Source organism: Homo sapiens, chromosome 2 (assembly GCF_000001405.40).
Source record: "Homo sapiens chromosome 2, GRCh38.p14 Primary Assembly".
Classification (NCBI taxonomy): domain Eukaryota; kingdom Metazoa; phylum Chordata; class Mammalia; order Primates; family Hominidae; genus Homo; species Homo sapiens.
The window spans coordinates 47188632-47212044 of NC_000002.12; the positions used below are offsets into that span (position 1 = coordinate 47188632).

The following is a 23413-nucleotide window of genomic DNA, read 5'->3' on the forward strand; positions in this document are numbered from 1 at the left end:
ACCTGCTAGTGCCCAACACTGAAGTAGGCACTAGGAGAACAAAGAAACAAATAGAGGCCAGGTGTGGTGGCTCACACCTGTATTCCCAGCACTTTGGGAGGCTGAGGCAGGTGGATCACTTGAGGTCAGGAATTCGAAATTCTTTCTGATGTCTAAAACTTTTATGACTAAAAACTTTCCGAAGGCAAGATTTAAACCTGTGGTTTGTAGGCCAGGCGCAGTGGCTCACGTCTGTAATCCCGCCACTTCGGGAGGCTGAGGCGGGTGGATCACCTGAGGTCAGGAGTTCGAGACCAGCATGGCCAACGTGGTGAAATGCTCTCTCTACTAAAAATACAAAAAATTAGCCAGGCATGGTGGCCCGTGCCTGTAATCCCAGCTACTCGGGAGACTGAGGCAGGAGAATCGCTTGAACCCAGGAGGCAGAGGTTGCAGTGAGCCGAGATCGTGCCACTGCACTCCAGCCTGGACAACAGAGTGAGACTTTGTCTCAAAAAAAAAAAAAAAAAAAAAAAAAAATCTGTGGTTTCTAGAATATAATGGGCTGCAGACAGAAATAATTCTTGTCAGACAGAAAATAGAGATTGGAGTTGAGAAAGCAGGTTTACTGCTGAGAGGCAAACTAAAGTATGGGTTCATATGGAATTTGCAGATCCCACTAAAATTGTGTTAACAAACAATCAGCAATAAGAAAAGTTGAATACCTACTATATACTAGGTACCATGATGGGCACCTGGAAGATAGAAAGACAAGGAAGACAACCAGAACATTCAGCCCAGTAAGAAGTAAAGCAAGGTTGGGGTGCGTATAATATCTTATTGTGGATGTGATCACAAGTGGCTGAGCTTTAGGATTGTCTGAAGCATCTTGGAAAAGAGAATTATTTTCCATTGGGAGGTAGAAAATGACAAAATGAGATATTCTAGGAGTTTAAGAAGAGGAGACATAGTTTAGGGTTTGAAGTGAGGACATGAAAGTAGGCCTGGTGGCCCTCCAGTCTTTTCTTCCTCCTCTACGTCAAGGGGCAGGTTCCCTTAAGATTGGAGTTTGATTTACTTTAATTGTACTAGTGTAGACCAACTCATTCCTGAGGCTGCTACACACTTATGAGTGAATCATTTAACTATTTTTATTTCATTGCTAGACTTTGGAATTTATTGAGTCAACTTAAAATCTTAAAAACAATACATTTGGTCAGTTTGGCCTGTGGCCCAGTTTAGTTTGAACAGAGATATCCACATCTCTTCATTGGAGACTGCTTCACAGTTATTGAATTATGGAGTGAACATAATACTGTCATTAACAGTACAAAATCATTTCTTCCAATAATGATGTTGGCTAATGACTTCCTCTCCACTAGAACTTTGTATCCTTCATTCTGAAGTTTTATGATGCAGTAAAATAAAAGAAACAGTAACAACAACAAATGGAGTTTCCTGAAGAGAGGTAGAATCTTAATTCTTCAGACAGTTAGCTTTTGTAGCTCTTTAGACATTAGTTTTAATACATTAAAATATGCCAACTAGCCTTGAGGGAGTTAAAATAGATGGCCTCCCAAGGTTCTTCCCAGCCCCAGCATTCTGAGATATTTCATCTAGGTATTGATCCCTTTTTCAGTGATTTCACTTGTGCAGTATGCCTTTATTCCAGTAAGCACTGGGCTGTGAAAGTTACACAATCCTTTTGCAAAAGGATTGAAGTTGAACAGGTTTTTACAATATGGCAGGCTCCTGAAGGGCTATCTTCCTGGAGGTTCCAGCCCAACCAACAAGCTGCCTCTTTATACCAGTCTGTGCTATGTAGTTTTATAAATTGAAAATGGAAAATTTCCCCCTGACTTTGAGGGCAGTATATTTGTAGTTCTGTGGTATGTGATGATCTAATACCCTGAAAGCCTGTTACCATTCGACAAAAGCTGAGGTCAATTATGATTCCCCATCAGTGACCCACAGCATCTCTCATGCTTTTCTCTGCAGTCTATTTTGAAGAGCAGTCACTGTAACATTTTTAAAGGGAACCAGAATTATTATTCCAATGATAAACTGCTACACAGACAGACATTCTTTTATGATTCATTGAAGTGCAGGTCTTAAGAGGTTATGCATTCTGTCTCAGTGTTTATTAAAGAGAGTGAAGACAAATAGATCAGAGAACAAATCAAACATTGCACATCATAGATGCCAAGCACAACAGAATAATCCTCCAATATTAATATATAGGCTACATAATCCCACTGTGCAAAAACATGTTTTATTCAGGAAAACAACAAATCAAGTAATCTCTCTATAGAAAGCCATTTACACTTCATTTGGAAATTGAATTCATAATCTTTAATAAAGCCTGTTTATACCAAAGATGGAGTTTCAAATAAATAAAACAAAACACAATGATAAATTAGCTTCCTAGCCTTTATATGTTTATTGCATTGTAATCATTCAAACCCACTGAAGTCAAATTTGTTTTACCAATTTCCTAAATTCAATCCAATAAGCACCTCATTCTTACACAAAACCAATTTATATTGTTAAGTGACAGCAAGAAAAATTAATATTGTGCTGGTTCTTACTATCCAAAGGGACTTTACTAAATGTAAATAATAGGATTTTACCATCCAGAAATCTATTATTCAAATGTAAATTCTTAGCACATATTCTGATACCCTTAAAATGGCAATGAAATAAAAAGCTGACCCTGGGGAACATGTCATACCCAACATGTTAAATAGGATGCCCAGGGCCTTGGTTAGAAAATAAAGAGCCATGCTAGAATTGTATTGAAAAATCATGATGACAAAGCCCTTTCCATTTAAAAATCACAGTTCATCAACATCATCGAATCAATGGCTGGAAATGAATGGAGAGGTGGTCTCATTCTGCTCTCTGCTTGGCACCCAGCTTTGGATAATGCATTCACGTCACTAGCTACAAATCAGGCCAAGAGACTCTGCTCAGCAAATTCCCTAGGACAGCAGGGTTTCTCCTCGGCAGAGGCCCAAGCTGGGCTGAAGCCTCCCTGCTGCTGCCTGCTGCAGACCTTCCTCCCCCTGATCCACTCTCAGCCTCTGGGATGTCGGCTGTCCCAGGAAATCCAAAATGCTTTCCCTTGTAGGAGCTTGAACACATGCAATCTTTCTCAACACCGGGGCTGCAAAGGCCTTAAAACATTTACTCCTCCCAAGTCTGCCTTATTAAACGATGTGAGAGATTTTTCTTAAGTGGGATTCTCTGACTGAGGTTGCTGTTTGAAAGGAGACCTGTGGCCATGTGGGGCAAGTCTGAGATAGGCTCTATTTAAGCCGAGCACTTCACGTCATTCCACTCTGCCTTGTTTTCAGTTGAGGGAAGGGAGGGATGATGATTCCTCTTGGGGGAATGTGGGAGGAAAGGTAAACAGTGCACGTGAACTTCCAAGAGCTGCCTAGAACCAAGAAAGGCACATTCTCTCCTTCCCATTCATGGGGCAAATATTTACCGAGCCAGGACTCTGCATAGCGTTGCATGTAGCTCGGTAATGGCTTCACAGGACCCAGAGTTTTAGGACTATGGAGGCTCCCTGTATTCACCTAGTTAAGCTTGTATGGGGAATGGGGAAAAAAGTATTTCATAGACAGGCAGACCTGGTTTGAATCCTATGGCACCACTTAATAACTGTTGCCTTTGAGGGAGTCACTTGGCTTCTCTGAGCTTCAGTTTCCTCGCCTGTACTTTACAGGATAATAGCATCTATCTTGGAGTGTTGCTGTGAGAATGAGAGTTAGTGCATGTCAAGTGCCTAGTTCAGGGTCTGGCACTGAGTCAACACATTTTCTACCATCCTGCCCTCACTGTCTGCCCCCTGCCCTCCCAGACCCCTTATCGAAGGGTCTGGAGGCATCCAGCAGTGCAGCCCTTAGTCACTCTCCTCTCTTGGGCAAGCCTTACTTCCATGTCAGAGTTGCCAGGTCTTTGAGAGCAGGAGCTGTATGCTGCTCAGCTCTGCATTCGCCCCAGGACCAGCCGCAGCTCCACGGTGGGCGGTGCTGGCAAGGCTTGCTTGAGAAATGGAGGAGAAGCCAGTCTCTCTCTCTCACTCTTTCTTCCTCTCTCTTTCCTTCTCTGTTACCTTCTCTGCTGCAGTCAGGCCTGCAGCCAGAAAAAGCCCAGATCTCCTGCCATTGTTTCCTGCAGGCTCCACACTCCTGAGCAGCTGAGGAGGGGAGAAAAACAAGGCTGTTAACAGGGGGTGCTTCTTTAGCTTCCTGAGCCAGCCCACATTCCCAGAGGGGAAGCTTTTGGGGGGATGAGGGAAGAGGAGAGGGTATATATCCAGGAGTTCTGAGAGAGTGCCAAGCCACTCCTGAGTCTGTTTCCTCCCCCAACATTAAATCAACACAGTGTCCCCAAATTCACAGCACCCCTCCTCCTTCTGGGTGAGATTAAGGGAGTTAAGTGCCTTTACTGAGCACTACTGTAGCCTAGGCACTATGCATGAGGATTTACAGTTCGGCTTAGTTCATCCTCAAAACATAGAGATATAGAGTACATCTTATTAGCTCTGTTTTACAAATGAGGAAACCGAGACTAAGAGAGATTGAATCGCTCCCCCAAGCTACAGCCAGAAAGTACCTTGGCTGGGATTTGAGGGCCCCAGGCTGTCTGACTCTAGAGCCCACCCCCTCAGCTTCAGCAGGCTGCCTCCCTCCCCGCCACCTGCTAGGGAAGCAGCTGACTCATGGCTTTTGATTCATTCAGTTCTCTTCTGCATTAACATTGCTTCATCCTAATGAACAAATATTGCATTATGCATTTCTCACTTTGCAAACATCTACATGAGGCTGTTTGCCTGCAAGCCCAAAAAATCACTGCATTTTCAGGTGACATCTTGACAGGCTGGCTTGTGGGTAGGTTAAAAAAAGAATCATAGAATGTTAGAGCCCTTAAAGATGGTCCTAAATCAGAGATTCTTAGGCTAGGGTTCAAAAGCAAACCTCAGGGGAGTCTCCAAAGCCCTGAATTTGTACATACATGTATTTTTCGTAGGATAAAATTTCAGTACTTTCATCAGATTCTCAGAAAGGTTTGAAGTCTCAAGGGATAAAAGCTGTCCACAGTTTATCCGAGCAAGGGCCTCACATTCCCAGGCGTGCTGCTGCCACTGTTGCATGAGCCAGCACAATTTGTGATAGAGAAAACCCTGAGCTCAACGCCAGAAGCAGAATCTGAGCTCTGAATCTTCTGGCAAACATTTTAAAGACTCATGAATTATTAAAACGGCTAATTAAGTCAACCTTCACCAGAGAATATTTGCTTTTCCCCCTCATCATTGAGCTCACTGTGAAACTTTACTTCACTCCATGGTTTGCTTAAGCACAAGGTCAATTTCTTTCGTTCCTTCTTTGCTGGTCTCAGAAGGAGAGCTTTGAGTGGCCTGCTGTGGTGTAGAGTAGCAGCCTGCTGTACCTCAGTGTACACAGCTGGGAGGCTCTGAACCCATTTTCTCTTCTCTGCCATCTGTGATTTGGCTCCATGCAGCCTATCGCCCACCTTAGGCCCACACTCTTTATTCCGCCCAGTCACTGTCCTCAGTGGTTCACATCCGCCATGCCTGTTCCTACAGCTCCCCCTCCTACCAGGATCACCCTCCCCTCTAGCATGCTGTAATTGGCCTTGAACCAAAAAATATGCCACGATCATCAAGTCAGCCTAGCCCTCTATTTTGCAGTGCATTAACCAGGTCTCTTTTTCTCCCTTCCCTCCACAACTAAATCCTACTTTCAAGACCCCTCTTCCATTCTACCTCCTTTGTGAAATCTCATTGTTTCATCTATTTTGATTTTATCTATTTTCAACTAGATTTAAGCTCCTCAAGAGCAAGAACTTATTTTCCATTCTTCTATTTACCAATAGCTTATGTACCAAGCTAGATGTCATACAAAAATTGTATTAATCAAGAAGTAGGCTTTTCTCCACCCTGCCTCATCCCTAATCTTTGAAATTGGCCACTTGCCAAGACAGTCCATTGCAAAATGAAAATGTAGGGCCCTAGCTGGGGCAAGAAACTCAATCTCCTCCTTCCCATAGGCCCACTCTCCCAACCCAGGGTCAATAGGTGATTCCTTAAGAGACTACAGCTTCCATGCCAGGATGCAGCAGGTACTTGAATAAGGGATGGGTGAGAGGGCTCCATCAAGTCACCAGCCAAATGCACTGTGGCAGTGCCAGCCCAGGACAGGGATCGCTGCTACCTTGCTCTACCCTGACGTGCCAGGGGGCGCATACCCAACCTTCCCCATGCCTGTGCCCAGGCCCCTGCCAGGAATAGAGGGCAACAGTGGAACACAGGCACCCCCCACTAATGCAACCTGGCTGTCACCCCAGGTGGACAGTGACAGCAATCACAGGGCTAGGGTAGCGGGGAGGCCAGGTGGGAAAGGGAGGCTGGGTGTGGCCCGGTACGCCAGGAAACAGAGGGCAGACTGTCAGTAACCCATCCTGGGGAGATGAGAAGTCCTAGGAAACCAGGATAGTCAAGGTTTCAAGACCCCAGGCACACGCTTCATTGTTCCATTGAGCTTCACTTACTGAATACAAACTCAAAGACAAAATTACTAAGAATTTGAAGGTGGTAATGCAGAGCACTAAATGTCAAGAGTTGCATCAGTGGGGATTGGCTTGTGTTACACTATTGCCCTCTGTGGGCCCCTTTTTAGTGTGGAGCCCTGTGTGACTGCATTAGTCACAGGCCTATGAAGCTGGCCCTGCTTCCCAGTCTGTTTCCTGAAATCTTTGGCATAACTCTACCTGTAAAAATACAGAAGAACAGTGAGTAATTCACTTAGGGAATCACAGAGCTACCCTAATTGCGATGAGTGTCACTGTTTGTCTCTTCTATACTTATATGTACACAAGAACTCATGACTCGGAAATATACCTGTAAGGGGATGAATAAAATTGGCCAGTAATATTAATATTGTAATAATAATATTATTTAATATTCAGCAATCAGATATACAGCTTTGGTAGAAAATTCTGTGTTTTTTTTTTAAGTTAGCCACACCTACCTCTCCTTTCCCCACTGAAGTCATTCTCCTCCTTATCTTCCACAAAACTCGAGAATCTTTGATGTTTGTCAGAATAGAAATGGTTAAAACAAATTTTACTCAATTCCTATTAGGCCTCAAACAGAAGATTAATGCAGCGTCACACTTTGGTTTTAAACCCATTGTTAACCACTATAAGCTGTGTACTATTTTTCTCTCCCTCACATCTTTAATTCATGACTGTAGCTGTATATTTATCCTGAAAAGATTTTTAAAAGGTTGATTGATCCAACTGGCACTGGCCTGGATTGGATCCCATGATGGATAATGTTTTGTTTTTTTTTCAAACACAAGTAAGCAGTCCCTTTCCTCAACAGCTGAAGTCTTGATAGAGTGAAGTAGCCTTCAAGAGCTGAATTTCTGATCATGGCTGGGGCAAGACCTGCTGCCTATTTGCACTGATGACATCTGGGAAAGAGAACTGGATGCTCAGTTGACGCTGAATTTCTCTTTTTTCTTTTAAGCATCCTCAGACTTTGGCTGGATATGTATGCCTTGTCTAGCACCCAGCTGCTAGGTTAACATCTGTGCATTGCTAATTAGTTGGGGAGTTTTGTAGCCCACAGGAGTTAGGTACACTGCCTAATAAATGTAACAGAACAAGAGTCTAAGAATGGAAATGAGCTGCTGGGGATGCTGGATTGTTTTGCATATTGGTGTCCGGATCCTGGGAACAAAGTCCTTCATGGTTGCTAGTTCCTACTCATCTGCAAGCATTTCCAGGGACAGAGCTGGTTTTATTTATCTCTTGGTGTCTACTACATAGTTGGCACTCAATAAATACTTAATGAATTCATACAGCTCTGCCTTCCTTCTTTCTGTCCATCTCACCTCCAAACTCTTCCCCTGGAATTAATGTTACTATCACTGGCTACGTCTTTGTTAGGAATTTTTCCTGTAAGTTTAGTTACCTGGTCTGATGAAGCAACAACACTTTTTTTGGCATGCTTTCTGGACCAATGAAATTCCAATTGATTGCTTCTTTTCTGGACTTCCATACTACAGAAGCAACTTTGAACCCAGGGTTCCCTGGAGAAATGACAGGTGACTCCTTCCCTTACTAGCTCAAGAGTTCACTGATAGGATCTATTAAAATTTTTCTGTGAGTTGTTTCTCTAGAAGTGAGGAATTGAATTATAGACCCAAACCCTCATTAAGCCAATATTCATTTTCCTCTTTTTTTCATGGAAATCAGTAATAAATCTTGATTTGCCTCCTTACTCAGTCCCTCAGCTAATAAAATCAAGGTGTTTCCTGAAATTAGATTAAATAATTTGACTCTCTTCTTTCTAGAAGTTTTAGAGCTCTCACTGACCTTTCTTGAAGAACCAGAAATTATTCTTATTTTTTCTTTCAGTGGCCTGTGAATATCCTGTCATTCAAAAAGCAAAAGTAAGAAGAAGGGGTAAGATAAAAAAAAGGGAGGAAAACTGAGAGTTTCCACTAACTAGTGGTGTGGTTCCAGACTCTTTTGGAGCCTCAGTTTCCTTTTTGTGAAATTCAGGACTCAGATGAAAAAGCTTTCTTTAAATGTCCTTTTTTGGCTCTGAAAGTCTAGGTATCTCAGTGGGATACAGGCTCCATAGATAGACTGTAATTCACCAGGTTTAAGGAAATTGTTTTCTTTGTGATAGAGCAATTTTTTTCTCTTTCTTCCTCTTTTTCTTTTTCTTTAATAGAACAGAACAAAATGAGCTCAGATCATAAGTTCGGTTGATTTCTTTCTAAACCACAGGGTTCATTTTCTGAAATTGCTGTCTTTTCCTTCAAAAGCCTTCCTCAGCCTTGTCAGCCAGCTCTATCACTTTTATATTAGATCTCTGTGAAGTAAGGAAGCCTTTTAGAGTAGGCTTGGAATGTGCAACAACAGGGCACAGGTGTGGCTGAAGAGGGCCTCTGTATGAACCCCCAGGAAGCCAAATTGGCCTCCCCTCCATCATTTCCTAAAATCTAGAACCCTATCCAGAATCTGAATGCACAAAATGCTGTTTGTCAATCAACCCATGGATAATTATTTTTCAAGTGACTATTAAGTGCATGAAACTCTTGATCCCTTATATTTATAACCCAATAATTATACAGGCCTCACTTTTCAAAATCAGAGAAAGCTTTGTTATTGAGATTTAAAGACAACATTTTCCTAAAAGGAGATCATCTCAGAAAACTATAGAGATTAAGAATTTTCAGTAGTCAGATTAGGTCTGAGTTCTAGCCCTTCCATTTACTAGAGGGGTAAGCTTTCAATTCCCTAAGCTTCAGTTCCTCCTATATAAAATAGAGATAATAAATAATACCCCCCTCATAAGGTAGAGCAAGGAGTCACTAAAATAAATTATGAAAAGGGCTTAGCATAGCGTCCAGCACGTAGTAAGAGTGCTCAATAGGTTCAGTTATTATTCATCATGATATGGCATTAATAATACATAAGATAAGAGACCTTTGTTGGACCCAATCTGTGGCCTCAGGCATCATATGCCCTTGTGGATTTCTCTTGGGCCCCTAAAGAAAAGGTAAAGTTGGAAAATGCTAGTATGTTCCAGTCATTGAAAGTAATTGTCAGGCACAGAAAGACAAACTTCATATGTTCTCACATATTTATGGGAGCTATAAATTAAAATAAATGAACTCATGGAGATAGAGAGCAGAAGCGTGGTTACCAGAGGCTGGAAGGGGTAGTTGGGGGTCAAGGGGAAGTGGAGATGGTTAATGGGTACAAAATAGAAAGAATGAATAAAGACCTACTGTTTGCTAGCACAACAGGTCGACTATAGTCAAAAATAATTTAATTGTACATTTTAAAATCACAAAAAGATTATAATCGGATTGTCTGTAACATAAAGGATAAATGCTTGAGGGGATGGATACCCTGCTTACCCTGATGTGATTATTACACATTGCATGACTGTATCAAAGTAGCTCATGTACCCTGTAAATATATACACCTGCTATGTACCCACCAAAATAAAAAATAAAAATTTAAAAAGAAAGTAAGTAATGGTAAATTTCTTTGAAATACCTCAAAATATATTTTAATGTAAAAACTGCTTTCTTCAGGGAAAGAGAGAGAGAATAAAATAACTTAAACAACTAAAAGAATTAAGAAGTTCTTAAAAAGAGAGAGGGGGGAATGATTTTTGGCCCTTTGTTGATGGTACAGGTGCGTTGGAGTTCTCACCCTTGGTTGCGATTGTGCTCTGGCTCTAGCCAATGGAGGAGGGAGTGAATGACAAGGAGAGGAAAGGAGAAGGAATGAGGACAGTCATGGGGCCATGGCACCATATGGCCTGAAACAGCCCAGGACTCAGTAATGTTTGCTGAACTGAAAGCCTCTATTCTTCTATCATCCCCCCCGACTTTCCAGTCCCTGGAAATCAGATAGTGTTATAAACCTGGAGGGCCAAGGCAGATGATAGACAGTGACTCATTGCGTGTAGGGAGGATGGCCTGGGTGAAACAGCAGTCCTAGTTTTTACTTAGGAATTCAGACCCATGTTGAGATGAAGCTCACACAATCCCTTAGGGCAGGGGGTGGCTCAAAAGGCCCAAAGGAATGTGTGCTTGGGTTTGAATCTGCCCTAGCTCCTGACTGAAGCCAATGTGGGGTCAACCACAGCCATCCATGGATCGCTAAGAGGGTTTGCTTATATTACCACATCAACAGCAGATTTCCTCTGGCCCCCAGTCAGCCAGGAATGGATAAACAACAGAAGTGCAGAATGGCTTTACCAAGTCTAGCTCCAAATTATGAGATGTCTCAGTCTAAGGTGTAGCCCAAGCAATCCTTGGGACAAGCTGATCGAGCTGGCTGGCCAGATCCCAAAGGTGGAGATGACCTAAGTGGAGAAAGGAAAATTTTACCCAAACAGAAGTGAAGATAGCAATTAGACCTAGCCAGCCACTCAGGTACAGCGAGAGCCCATTTGAATTGGAAAAGAAAAGAAAAAAAAAAAGAGGTATGCAAACCATAACTAAATTGTTGGCGGGAAGACACAGCAGAACAGGAAATGTGCATGCAGATAAGTGAAGCCTCCATTAATGGCTTCACTGCATTTATCAAAAGGGATTTCAATTAACGTGATGAAGACCAAGGCAATTACAGTAGGAAGAAAAGATGAATTTAAGATTAATCTCCTCTGTTGTTTCCTTACAGCAATTTATAAGGGAAATGCTTCAGGTGAGAGCCTAGTTGGGAATTAACCCAAAGAAGATGAGAATCAGATCTGTTAACAGAGAAGAACCCTAAAGACAGTGACTCCCAAACTTGGCTATACATTTGAACCACTTAGGGAGCTTTTAAAACTTCCAAAGGCCATGGCCCAGACCAATTACATCACAATCTCTAGGGGTGGGACACAGGCATCAGAATTCTCGAAGCTCCTCACTGTGCAGACAAATTTGCGAACCACTGTTAATGAGCAATATGCATGATGGAGGCGTGTTAGGAAATAGCATGCGAGGTTACAGGTAAATAAATACAGCCATTAAGAAATGGCAATAGGCCTGGCACAATGGCTCATGCCTGTGATCTCAGCACTTTGGGAGGCCGAGGTGGGCAGATGGCTTGAGCCCAGGAGTTCGAGACCAGCCTGGCCAACATGGCAAAACCCCGTCTCTACTAAAAATAAAAAAATTAGCCAGGCGTGGTGGCGCACACCTGTAATCCCAGCCACTAGAGAGGCTGAGGCAGGAGAATCGCTTGAACCTGGGAAGTGGAGGTTGCGGTGAGCCAAGATTGCATCACTCCACTCCTGCCTGGGTGATAGAGCAAGACTCCATCTCAAAAAAAAAAAAAAAAAAAAAAAAAAAAAAAAAAAAAAAAGAAATGGCAAGAAATTCACTTGCCTTAGAACAGAACAGGATCTGTGTCTCTTGTTTTCTTTTTTTGTAATTTTAAAAAGTGTTTATCAGTGTTCGAGAAAAATGGATGAAGAGACAGGGGCACTTTCTTTTTTTTTTAATCAACCAGAGTTAAATTCAAGTAATTTTTGAGTGAGGCCCTTGAACTTGATGTCTGGGAGTGGGATAGAAAACAAAGGGGTTCATTGCCATTATGGATAAAGCAATTTATATATTTTTGCTTCATAGAATGTTCATATCCATGACCTAATTTTAACTTGCATCTCTGTGAAGTAGGCAGAGAAAGTATTATTTTTCTCTCCCACTTCCACAGATGGGAAAACAGATAGAGTCTCATGATTTACTCAGCATTACAGAGCAAAGTTAGTGGCAGGAACAGGAGCAGAATTTGGTTCTTCAGAAATTCCAGTTAAATGTCCTTCCTCTAAACTGTGTTGCCTTCCTGCCCTTGAAGAGCTCTCTGTAAGAGTGGGAAATTTTACAATGATAACTGAAACAAGAAAACATGACACTTGGTGAGCCAAACGAAAGAGTTCTGCTATTAGGGGGAAAAAATCTAGAACAGATGCCAAGAGACACATCAAGGTGGTGGCAAAGTGCTGACCACCCTGCCCTTGAGGATGCCTCATGAATATTGGATGATGTTAATATACTGAATTTGCCTCCAAATTACACTGGGTTGGTGGGCAGAGGCAAGGCCGGTGAGGTCACAAGAAATAATTTTTAGGGCAAAAAAATGAAAGCATCCTTATAGTTCTTGTGCTTTGACCAACAGTTTCAGGGCCTTCTTAAGTAGGTTGTGAGTAGCAACGAGTTGTTGCCCTGGTGTTTTCAAGAAACAGAAATTCCCTGGCATTGATTTAACCACAATAGGGTAAAAGGGCAAGTTATAGGCCCTAAAACAAGAATGCAGTCAGGCTTAAGGAAGGACTAGAACTGGGAATTTGCAAACTGTCAGAACTCAGGGGGATGTGTGCTCTGTCCATCTTTCATTTCCTTTTCTCTCTTGAGTATTTGTGTTCATCTTTTTCCTGAGGAGTTCCCTCTGCTGATCTGCTCACATGAGGGGGCAAAGATACTTACCCACAGCTCCCAAGTTCATATTTTAGCCATATGAACCAGGTCTATCCACCAAACCCCTATTCAAATACAGACTCCCGTGGAAAAAAATATTTGGCCCAAATTGGCTCAGGAATCCATCCCTGATCCAATCAACTATGACCAGAGGTCAGCATCACATTGTGTGTAAATAACTGTGGGAGCCACCTTCTACAGATGGTAGTAAGGCACTTACAGAGAGGAATCATTTAAACTAAGCATATGCCTCAAATATATCTACCACTCATACTGACAAGGGTGGTTATACTAAAAAAAAAAAAAAAGAAGAAGAAGATGACAAATGTTAGCAAAAATGTGGAGAGGTTGAAACTCTTATGTAATGTATATGGTAATGTAAGTGTAAAATGGTGCAGCCACTGTAGAAAACAGTTTGGCAGTTCCTTGATAAATTAAATATAGAACTACCATATGACCCAACAATTCTACTCCTGGGTATATACCCAAAAGAATTGAAAATAGGTGTTTAAATGAGCACTTGTACACAAGTGTTGATGGCAGCACTATTTAGCAGCCAAAAAGTGGAAACAAATTAAATGTCCATCAGTTGATGAACGAATAAACAAAATGTGGTAGAGCCATCCAATGGAATATTATTTAGTCATAAAAAGAAGTGCTTTCTCAGTAAACTATCGCAAGGACAAAAAACCAAACACTGCATGTTCTCACTCATAGGTGGGAATTGAACAATGAGAACACACGGACACAGGAAGGGGAACATCACACTCTGGGGACTGTTGTGGGGTGGGGGGAGGGGGGAGGGATAGCATTAGGAGACACACCTAATGCTAAATGACGAGTTAATGGGTGCAGCACACCAGCATGGCACATGTGTACATATGTAACTAACCTGCACATTGTGCACATGTACCCTAAAACTTAAAGTATAATAATAATAAAATTAAAAAAAAGAAGAAGAAAAAAAAAAAGAAGTGCTTGATCAAAAAAAAAAAAAAGAAAGAAAGAAAAAATAAAATAGAGTCTAGTGATTGTGGGCAAAAATAAATAAATAGGCCAGGTGTGGTGGCTCATGCCTGTAATCCCAGCACTTTGGGAGGCTGAGGTGGGCGGATCACTTGAGGACAAGAGTTCAAAACCAGCCTGGCCAACATGGCAAAACCCCGTCTCTACTAAAAATACAAAAATTAGCTGGGCATGGTGGCAGGCACCTGTAATTCCAGCCACTTGGGGAGGCTGAGGCACGAGAATGGCTTGAGCCCAGGAGGCAGAGGTTGCAGTGAGCTGAGATCACACCACTGTACTCCAGCCTGGGTGACAGAGGGAGACTCTATCTCAAAAAATATACATAAATAAATAAATAGAAGAAGGAGTACTGAGACATGCTAAAACACAGATAAACCTTGAAAACATTATGCTAAGTGAAAGAAACCATACACTAAAGGTCACATATATGACTCCATTTATATGAAATATCTGGAATAGGCAAATGTATAGAGACAGAAAGCAGATCAGTAATTGCCCGGGGCTGGAGGAATGGTGCATGACTGCTTAATGGGTATAGGGATACAAATGTCCTGGACATAGAAAGTGGTGGTTGTTGCACAACATTCTGAAGGTACTAAATGTCACTGGATTTATATTTTAAAATGACTAAAATGGTAAATTTTGCATTACATGTGTTTTAATCCCAATAAGAAAATATATCTAACACATTAAAATGCTCTGAGAAGACTGATCACATTCATTGCCCAGGAGTAGCCACGCTGGGAACGATAACAAAATACAGTTGTTCCTCTGTGTCTGTGGGTTCCACATTTGTGGATTCAACCACAAACGGATTGAAAATATTTGGAAGAAAACATGGATAGTTTCGTTCTGTACTGAACGTGTACAGATTTTTTTCTTGTCACTGTTCCCTAAACAATACAGTATAAAAACTATTTTCATGGCATTTACATTGTATTAGGTATTATAAGTAATCTGGAAATGATATAAAGTATACAGGAAGATTACATAGGTTATATGCAAATACTACCCATCTTATATGAAGAACTCAAGCATCTGTGATTTTGGTGTCAGTCGGGGGTCCTGGAACCAATCCCCCACCTATACTGAAGGACAACTGAACATTGACTCATTCATTCAATCAGTAAACATGGATTGAGCATTTAATTGTATGCCAAGCTGTGCCAGGCATTGAGTATGGCTGACAGACTAGTGGAGCACACACAGGTAAATAGATCATTTCTATTTAATATGATAACTGCTAAGACCAAGACACTCTCAGGGTGTTTTGGAAATTCAGATGAGGCATGATTATTATTATTACTATTATTATTATTACAGGATGAGGCAACACATGAGCTGATCACTAAAGATGAATAGGAGTTCTCCCAGTGAGGTGGCAGAGAGGGACGAAGGGCGTTCCAAGCAGAGTAAAGAAACGCACAAAGCCACAGAGATGAGAGAGGATATAGCCAGTGGAGAAGGAGGGTAAATCATGTGCATAAGCCAAATGGAGAAGCCCTTGTCTGCTGTCCAAATGAACCTGGATTTCATCCAGGAGATGGAGGCCAGTGCCTGAAGGAGCCTCAGCAGAAGAGTGCCAGGGAGGAGAGGCAGAGACTATGATTGGAATACAGAGGGGGAGCAGGAGAACAGAGTGTCGTCATAGGGGTCAAGAGAGGGGAGAGAATCAAGAAGAGAACAGGGTCAAGAGCATCATTTCTTGGCTAGATGCTATGGCTCACACCTATAATCTTAGCACTTTGGGAGACCTAGGTGGAAAGATCACTTGAGGCCAGGAGTTTGAGACCAGCCTGGGCAATAAAACGAGACTCCATCTCTACAAAAAATTAGAAAATCAGCTGGATTTGGTGGCACACACCTGCAGTCTTAGCTACTCAGGAGGCTGAGGCAGGAGAATCACTTGAGCCCAGGAATTTGAGGCTACAGTGAGCTGTGATTGTGCCACTGCACTCCAGCCTAGGCAACAGAGTGATACCTTGTCCCCCCCAAAAAAAAAAAAAGAGTGTCATATCTTCAGCAATGTCAAGGCAGGAGCTGAAAGTGGCCACAGACTGGACAATGAGAAGGTCACTCTTGTCTTTTGTGCATTTTACTGTCATAGCAGGCTGTGCCTCACCAAACATGCCCTACCATCACATTTGGCTGGTGATATGGTTTGGCTGTGTCCCCACTCAAAGTCTTATCTTCAGTTGTAATCCCCATAATCCCCACGTGTCAAGGGAGAGACCAGGTGGAGGTAGCTGAATCATGGGGGTGGTTCCTCCATGCTGTTCTTGTGATAGTGAGTGAATTCTCATGATATCCGTTGGTTTTATAAGGGGCTCTTCTCCTTTCACTTGTTCACTCTTCTCCTTCCTGCTGCCTTGTGAAGAAGGTGCCTCACTTCCCCTTCACCTTCCGCCATGATTGTAAGTTTCCTGAGGCTTCCCCAGCAATGCTGAACTGTGAGTCAATTAAACCTGTTTCCTTTATAAATTACCCAGTCTCAGGCAGTTCTTTACAGCAGTGTGAATGGACTAATAGAGCGGGAAGGAGAAGAGGCAGAGGATGGTAGAGAGGGAAGGTTTACTTGCTCAGGAGAAAGATCAGATGAACTAGAGAGAGATGGAAGGTAGAGGAGAGAGAGAGGAGAATAGATGAAGCCAAGCTGCCAAGGCTGCAGAGCTTTCAGGAGGCGGTTGCCTTTGGACAGGTAGAAGGTAGCACGGCCTCTCAGCTTGGAGGAAGGTAGGAATGCCGGAGGGGAACATATGTTTCTTGGTGGGGCAGAGGAGTAGGTGCATATAAACAAGGGAATTCCTACCTGATGGCCTCTATTTTCTCAGCAAAGCTCAAAGGGTGGGAAACACTTAGAAGGGCCATGGTGGGGAAGGGGGAGGTTTGCTGACAGGGACACTAAGAAGTGTTTCTAGGCTGCTCAGCGGCCCACTAGGCTATGCAGATGATGACTTTGTAGTAGCGCCAATCTGCGTGGGCTGTGATTTTCTCCAGCAGAGCTCAGCAGCCCAGGAGCCCAGATGTCAGAGTGTAGGAAGAGCTGCCTGATAAGGCTGGGCGGCAGCCAGACCGGAGCAGCAGCAGGGCAAAGGCGGAGAGGAGGGAGGCTGGGCTTAGGCAAAGGAGGGTGATGAGATGGCCCAGGAAGCATAGGTGAAGTAGAGAAGGAAATGAAGAAGTTGGGGGGAAGGTTCTGAAGCAGTGACAGAAAAATGGCAGGGGAAAGAGACTACAGGTTTTGAGGAGGTTGAAAATCTAGCACACTGGGAGTTAGGAGTGGGCGGGCTGGAAGGTGGGAGGCTCTGATCTGAGTGGGCTGGGGAACAATTCAAAGCAATATGTAATCAAGTGCTAAATAGGCTGGTATGAAATATAAGTGGGCATAAGTGCTAGGGAGGAGGGTGCCACTTGGGAGGGAGTGCTCAGTGTGGATGGAGGAGCAACCTGGTGCAATTCGCTGCGTTCACATCTACAGCCTGTGCAGCAACCCCAGTGGGGAATTCAAGGTGACAGTGTAGCAAATGGTATCTTGACACTCAGAAAACCCTGGGTGGATCAAACCTTTCAGAGGACACAGCAATAATAAAGTCTGGGCTCAATAAAGTCAGAAAGTGAACAGCAGGAGAGAACATGAGGATTTTCCTAATCCTGCCTATGAAATGTTGCAGTGCCGTGTCATTTGTGCTCTTCCTCCTGCCTTGCCCATTCACTTCCTGCTTCAAGTTGCCCTTCATCTGATCTCAACATTTCAAGAAGTCTCATGCATATTGTACATTTCCACAGGATAAAGCCATGAATTAATGTGTTTACTGGGCAAGAGGGAGGTGGGTGGGAGAAATCATCAAAGCGGTCTTTGGTGAAGACAAGGTTTGCAGCTTTTACTCTGGTCCACTAGAAGCCCAAGGCTTCTAGTTAAGAAGTTAACTAGAGAAGTTAAGCCGCTGGCCTGAAGTAGCACAGGTAGTGAGCAGCAGAGCTCAGACCAGATGCATGACCCCCAGGCCAGGACTCTTTTCTCAACACAGCTCAGGGGAAGCCAGATGATTTCCTCTCCTGTCTACCTTGTGATTGGTCAAAACTTGAGCCTCTGTTTCTTTTATCTCTTAAGCTCTAAACTGGGATGAAGTTTAAACATCTGTGGGTTTTGCCTGTCTAACACCCATTGGCCCTCTTTCTTTTGATCCCAGTTTGGCTATAGGAAGCACTACTCCCCTATCTGGGTGGTTCCATTCAGCAATGACCACTGATCATGTGGCCCAAGGTAGGCCTGCTGGTTGCTGTTGTACTAAGATCCCAGATCATCATTTCCAAGCCCAGTCTTAAAACTGTTTTTCCTTCTTGTCTGTGAGATATTGCATGTCCTTCCAGAGAAATCCCCATTTCTCACTTTGTGTGAGCAGGGTCTGATACTTGATGCCAAAAAACTCCTGGAGGTCCCATATTTGCCATCAAACGAAAACACTGCACACTAGGTCAGGATCTGGAAGCACTGCATATCCTGTCTGTCAGCAAATCTTACCAGCGCCGTCTTGAAAACATGTCCAGAACTCAGACTACACTTCTCATCACTCCCACTGCCACAGCCCTGGTCCAAGTCACCATCACCTTTGGCCCAGACTTTTTTTTTTTTTTTTTAATAGAGATGAGGTCTCCCTCTGTCACCCAGCCTGGAGCGCAGTGACAAAATCACAGCTCACTGCAGCCTTGAATTCCTGGGCTCAAGTGATCCTCCCACCTCAGCCTCCTGAGTAGCTGGGACTACAGGCATACACCACTGAATCCAGCCAGATTATTGCAGCAGCCTCCTTGGAGGTCCTGTTTCCATTTGTGCCCTGAAGTCTGTTCTTCACATAGCAACCAGGAGCATTTTGTTATAATGTAAGTGGGACCATGCCTCTCTTCTGTTCACATCCTCCCAGTGACTCCCCCACCTCACTCAGAGTAAAGGCAAAGCCCTGACTATGACCTTCACGGCCCACATGGTCTGACCCCGTCACTACCTGACCTTCTCTCCTGCTGCTCTCTCTCTCTGATCCTCTGCCCCAGCCACACAGACACTCTTGCTGCTCCTCCAGCACTCCAGGCACGTTCACACTTCTGAGCCTCTGCCCATGCTTTCCCCCACTAGAAAGTAAGCTCCATGAGGGCAGGGAGTTTCATCTGTTTTGCTCATTGCTGTATCCCTAGCATCCAGCAGAATGTGTGGCACAAAATTGGTGCTCACAGCTAGGCACGGTGGCTCACACCTATAGTTCTAGGATTTTGGGAGACTGAGGCAGGAAGATTGCTCAAGCCCAGGAGTTCAAGACCAGCTTGGGCAACATAGGGAGACCCTGTGTCTACAAAAAAATTTTAAAATTAGCCAGGCATGATGGTCCATGCCTGTAGTCCTAACTACCTGAGAGGCTGAGATGGGAGGATGACTTGAGCCCGGGAAGTCAAGGTTTCAGTGAGCCAAGATTGTACCACTGTACGTGAAAGAGTGAGACCCTGTCTCAAAAAAAGAAAAAATTCATCAGTTCGGATTTGATGAACGAATGGATGAATGAATGAACGACCAAATATGAACTGAGCAGCCTGGCACTTTATCCTCCTTTCCATCATGCCACCCTCAGCATATACTTCTGACATTCCCTGGAATGTTGGGTAGATGCTTTTAACACTTGAGGGATCTGCCTTGTGTTGTTTTTTACTGCAGCCATAAGAAACAATCACTTTGTAAAATGTTTGTTTCTAGACATGAAACTGAAAGGCTATTTTGATATATACAAAAATCATAATTTTTAAAATCAGAAGGAAGCAAACCAAAACAAAGTGCATAAACATATAAATATGTCTTTGGAGATTCATTGCATAAATTCCCCAGAACCTTTTCTCAGAAGTATTTCACTTTGCTTCAATACTGCCTTGCATTGGAGAATTCCACAAATTTTCTATTAATTGCCCTTGAAGGTGTTTGCTTCCTGGAAGAAGCACATTATAAGTTATGGAAACAGAAAACCACGATATTTTTGTAAGAATCTCAGCCTGAGTTTGGGGCCTACCGCAAGCATCTGAAGAATAGCTTGTGCCAGCCACAAACCCATTTGAAGGTCTCAGGGTCCCTACTCCTGGGTAATACTATCACCAAGGTGAAAGGATGCGAACTGAAATGGCCAGAGATCGCTCTGAGATAGATTTTGCTCATTGTCCCCGGACTTCCCACAGATATTCCCCTAGGCTCAGGAAATTCTATCTCCCTGATTTCAAGTGCTGCCTAAAATGTAATGATGCAGAAACAGAATTTCCCTGAGCTCTCTCTGACCTCCCCTTCCATTCTCCACTCAAACAGACCTAAAAAACAAATGTACGGAAAATCTCCTACTGGCCCATGAAAACTCGTTTTGCAACCCCTTAACTCTATTGCAGCAGAATGTTTTAGGCAGGGCTGGCAAAGCTTATCTTCAGTGTTTATCTTATTTCCCCACTTCCGCCTCTTCACCTTTCCTTACCCCCTTCCCCTATCAAAACTCACTCTCAGGACAGATTATGTTATGAGTCATTTATGCTTTGGGATTCATTTCAATGCCAGTGTTTTCTCTTTTCCAGAGATGATTATGTTTTTGACTACATTTCTCAGTTTAGGCATCAACTGTCTGGGGAAGAGAAGAATAAGAGGAGCAAGAAGCCCATCTTTGTATCTCTGAAATATTACAATAGCACCAACGACCATTTACTGAACACTTACTGTGTACCTTACAGTGTACCAGGCACTTTGCAAATAGGATACCACTTAAATAGTGAGTTCAGATTAAATGATTTAATACATGTGTTTAGCACAGTGTCTGGCACACAGCAAATATTCAATTCAAAGTAGCTACTATTTTTAAAAAGTAATAATCTTTATAACAACCCTATGAGACAGGTATTACCTCATTTAGTAGACAAAGAAACAAAGTTGAGTGACTTTCCAAACTTACTCAGATGATAGACACAGGACTAGGATTTCAGTCCAGATATATCTGACTCTAAAGAATATGCTTTTTTTCATAACACCATTTGGATTTGACTCTAAAGAATATGCTTTTTTCATAACACCATTTGGATTCCAAACCACAAAAGCCTCTGCTTAATCTGCCTACCAGTGAGTATAGCCTGAAACTTGGGCACATGAAGAACTATGTCCTAAAATGCTTCATTTTTAATAAGACTTTATTTACCATGAAGAGCCTGAGAAGAGATGAGAGTCCCTAAAGTCCTGAAATGTCAGAGTCAAGCTCCAGCATAAGCCCCTTTGATTTACTTCTGTTCCCAAGAGTGGACCTGGAAAGAGATTATTCCTCGTTTACTTTCTTCTTTTTTTTTTTTTTTTTGACACAGAGTCTTGCTCTGTCGGCCAGGCTGGAGTTCAGTGGCTCGATCTTGCCTCACTGCAATCTCCACCTCCCAGGTTCAAGCCATTCTCCTGCCTCAGCCTCCTGAGTAGCTGGGATTACAGGCACACACCACCACGCCTGGCTAATTTTTGTATTTTTAGTGGAGACGGGGTTTCACCACGTTGGCCAGGCTGATCTGGAACTTCTGATGTTAGGTGATCCTCCCACCTCAGCGTCCCAAAGTGTTGGGATTACAGGTGTGAGCCACCGCGCCTGGCCTGGTTACTTTATTCTAGAAGACTCACAGACAGATGGCTAATTAGTATATAATGATGCTAATCCATGCCCCACTTCTTTCTTATATCTCTATAACCCTCACATCCAGGTATTCTCTCTCCATTCAACATAGCCCACAAGAGAATCAGGCTGCATGCATTTCCAGAAAAGTGAGTGTGTGGCTTCCTGCCCAGGGTGGTGGTGACTTTGGTTAAAACTTAGTGTTAATAGGGTCATCCCTGAATGAACCAGGTAGAACACCACCAAAATAAAACCCCCTGATTCCATGTCTAGCCACCTCCCAAACTGCAGCTGTTGGTTCACAAAGGCAACAGTCTAAGTAGGTCTAGTGGCTATAAAAAACAACTCAGCCCAGTGCCTAGGCACAACAACACATTCATTCATGGCGTCTGTCCTACCAGCCTCTTGGGCATGGAGGAATATTTGTGCTAGGATATGGCCTCCCTCAAATGCTCGCCTGCACATGTGCTGACCACAGGGATTGCTTTTTATTCCTTGTGAAAAATGCAATACAGCTTCACCTTTGATATTCTGTGTAGTGCCCTCTTTCAGCTGAATTCAAAATAAAATCCTTCTAGAAGATATTCCCCTCTGCAGGCTGCTTTGAGGCCTGAACATGAAGCAGTCTGGGAGGCAAGCTGCATGGTTCTTGTTTAAATCAGTTTCCCGGGATCTACCCTGATGGATACAGAGTGATGTCTCCCAACAAGCTTGAGCAAAACTAGGGGGACTGCCTGCCCCCTTCGGGAGAGAAGTCTAAACAATGTGAGGAAGTCATTTCAGGGCTTCTCCAAGGTTCTGTTCATCAGACATGAAGGCTGATTAGGTACCGATCATCCTTTGTGGTCATTTTACCTCTAAATCATATAAAGATACGGAGACTTTGTAGTGCTATCCATAAACAGGTATACTTTAAAAAGTTATCTTTCCATGTGAGAGAACATTGATCTACAAGGCTCTTCATTCTTCTTGTTCAGTTTTGTCTATCAATACTCCTTCAGCCAAATCTCATTTCTGGCTTTAATGGGGGCTCACAACTCGGCTGATATGGTCACAACAACTGGTAAGGTCTTGAGACAGCCTGGCAGCCAGGTCACTGCTACAATGGCTGGATCTCTGGTCCGCAGTGTCAGGGTTTCCTGGGTAACTGGCAGGGAAAGACTGCTGTGCTGGAGCTCCCTGGGCCCTGAGCAGGACCTAACTGCAACTTTTGCCCTCCAGGATTCTGATGGCATCAGGACTGTGGGCAGCAACAAGGCCTGCTCAGGTGCTGGGCACAGAGCCCAGACAAGGAAGGCTGGAGCAAGGCTGAATGCAGATTAGGGGACGGGCAGGGGATTAGGTAAGACTGGAAAGTATCACTAGAAATCTGTCAGACAGCAAGGGAAGTTTGGGAGCCAGATCAGAACAGAGTGATAGGTGAGGAGTCCATCTAGGAAGACACTATGTGGAAATCGGAAGGCAACCTGTTGAAAGCAAACCAGGAAAATAGTTTTAAAAACAGCCAATTCATTTTTGACAAAGGTGTCAATGTAAGTCAATAGGAAAAGGATAATCTTTTCAACAAATTGTGCAGGAATAAGTGTTTAGTCATATGCAGAAATGAACCTCAATCATTACCTCATTCCATACGTAAACATTAACTTGAAGTTGATCTGTAGAGGCTGACCGGGCACACTGGCTCACACGTGTAATCCCAGAACTTTGGGAGGCTGAGGCAGG

At 43.2% G+C, this 23413-nt stretch overlaps 1 long non-coding RNA gene across 1 annotated transcript in view, besides 3 other annotated features; it reads right to left on the minus strand.

Moving 5' to 3' along the window:
- Positions 1-3773: 3773 nt before the first annotated feature.
- The window catches only part of EPCAM-DT (EPCAM divergent transcript), a 152670-nt gene continuing 133030 nt past the window's right edge, over positions 3774-23413 (minus strand). Inside the window, exons 4-5 of the long non-coding RNA NR_110208.1 lie at positions 10806-10912; positions 3774-4186 (exon numbers count right to left, since the gene is read on the minus strand). This is a non-coding gene — a long non-coding RNA (EPCAM divergent transcript). The remainder of the gene's footprint in view (positions 4187-10805; positions 10913-23413) is intronic.
- Positions 4201-4722: an enhancer, noted in NCBI's record as "H3K27ac-H3K4me1 hESC enhancer chr2:47419971-47420492 (GRCh37/hg19 assembly coordinates)". NCBI's record gives its function as "activates a minimal SCP1, AML or CMV promoter by ChIP-STARR-seq in naive H9 embryonic stem cells {active_cell/tissue: H9 hESC(naive)}" and the evidence as "EXISTENCE:reporter gene assay evidence [ECO:0000049][PMID:30033119]".
- Positions 4723-5244: an enhancer, noted in NCBI's record as "H3K27ac-H3K4me1 hESC enhancer chr2:47420493-47421014 (GRCh37/hg19 assembly coordinates)". NCBI's record gives its function as "activates a minimal SCP1, AML or CMV promoter by ChIP-STARR-seq in naive H9 embryonic stem cells {active_cell/tissue: H9 hESC(naive)}" and the evidence as "EXISTENCE:reporter gene assay evidence [ECO:0000049][PMID:30033119]".
- Positions 19061-19560: an enhancer, noted in NCBI's record as "H3K27ac hESC enhancer chr2:47434831-47435330 (GRCh37/hg19 assembly coordinates)". NCBI's record gives its function as "activates a minimal SCP1, AML or CMV promoter by ChIP-STARR-seq in primed H9 embryonic stem cells {active_cell/tissue: H9 hESC(primed)}" and the evidence as "EXISTENCE:reporter gene assay evidence [ECO:0000049][PMID:30033119]".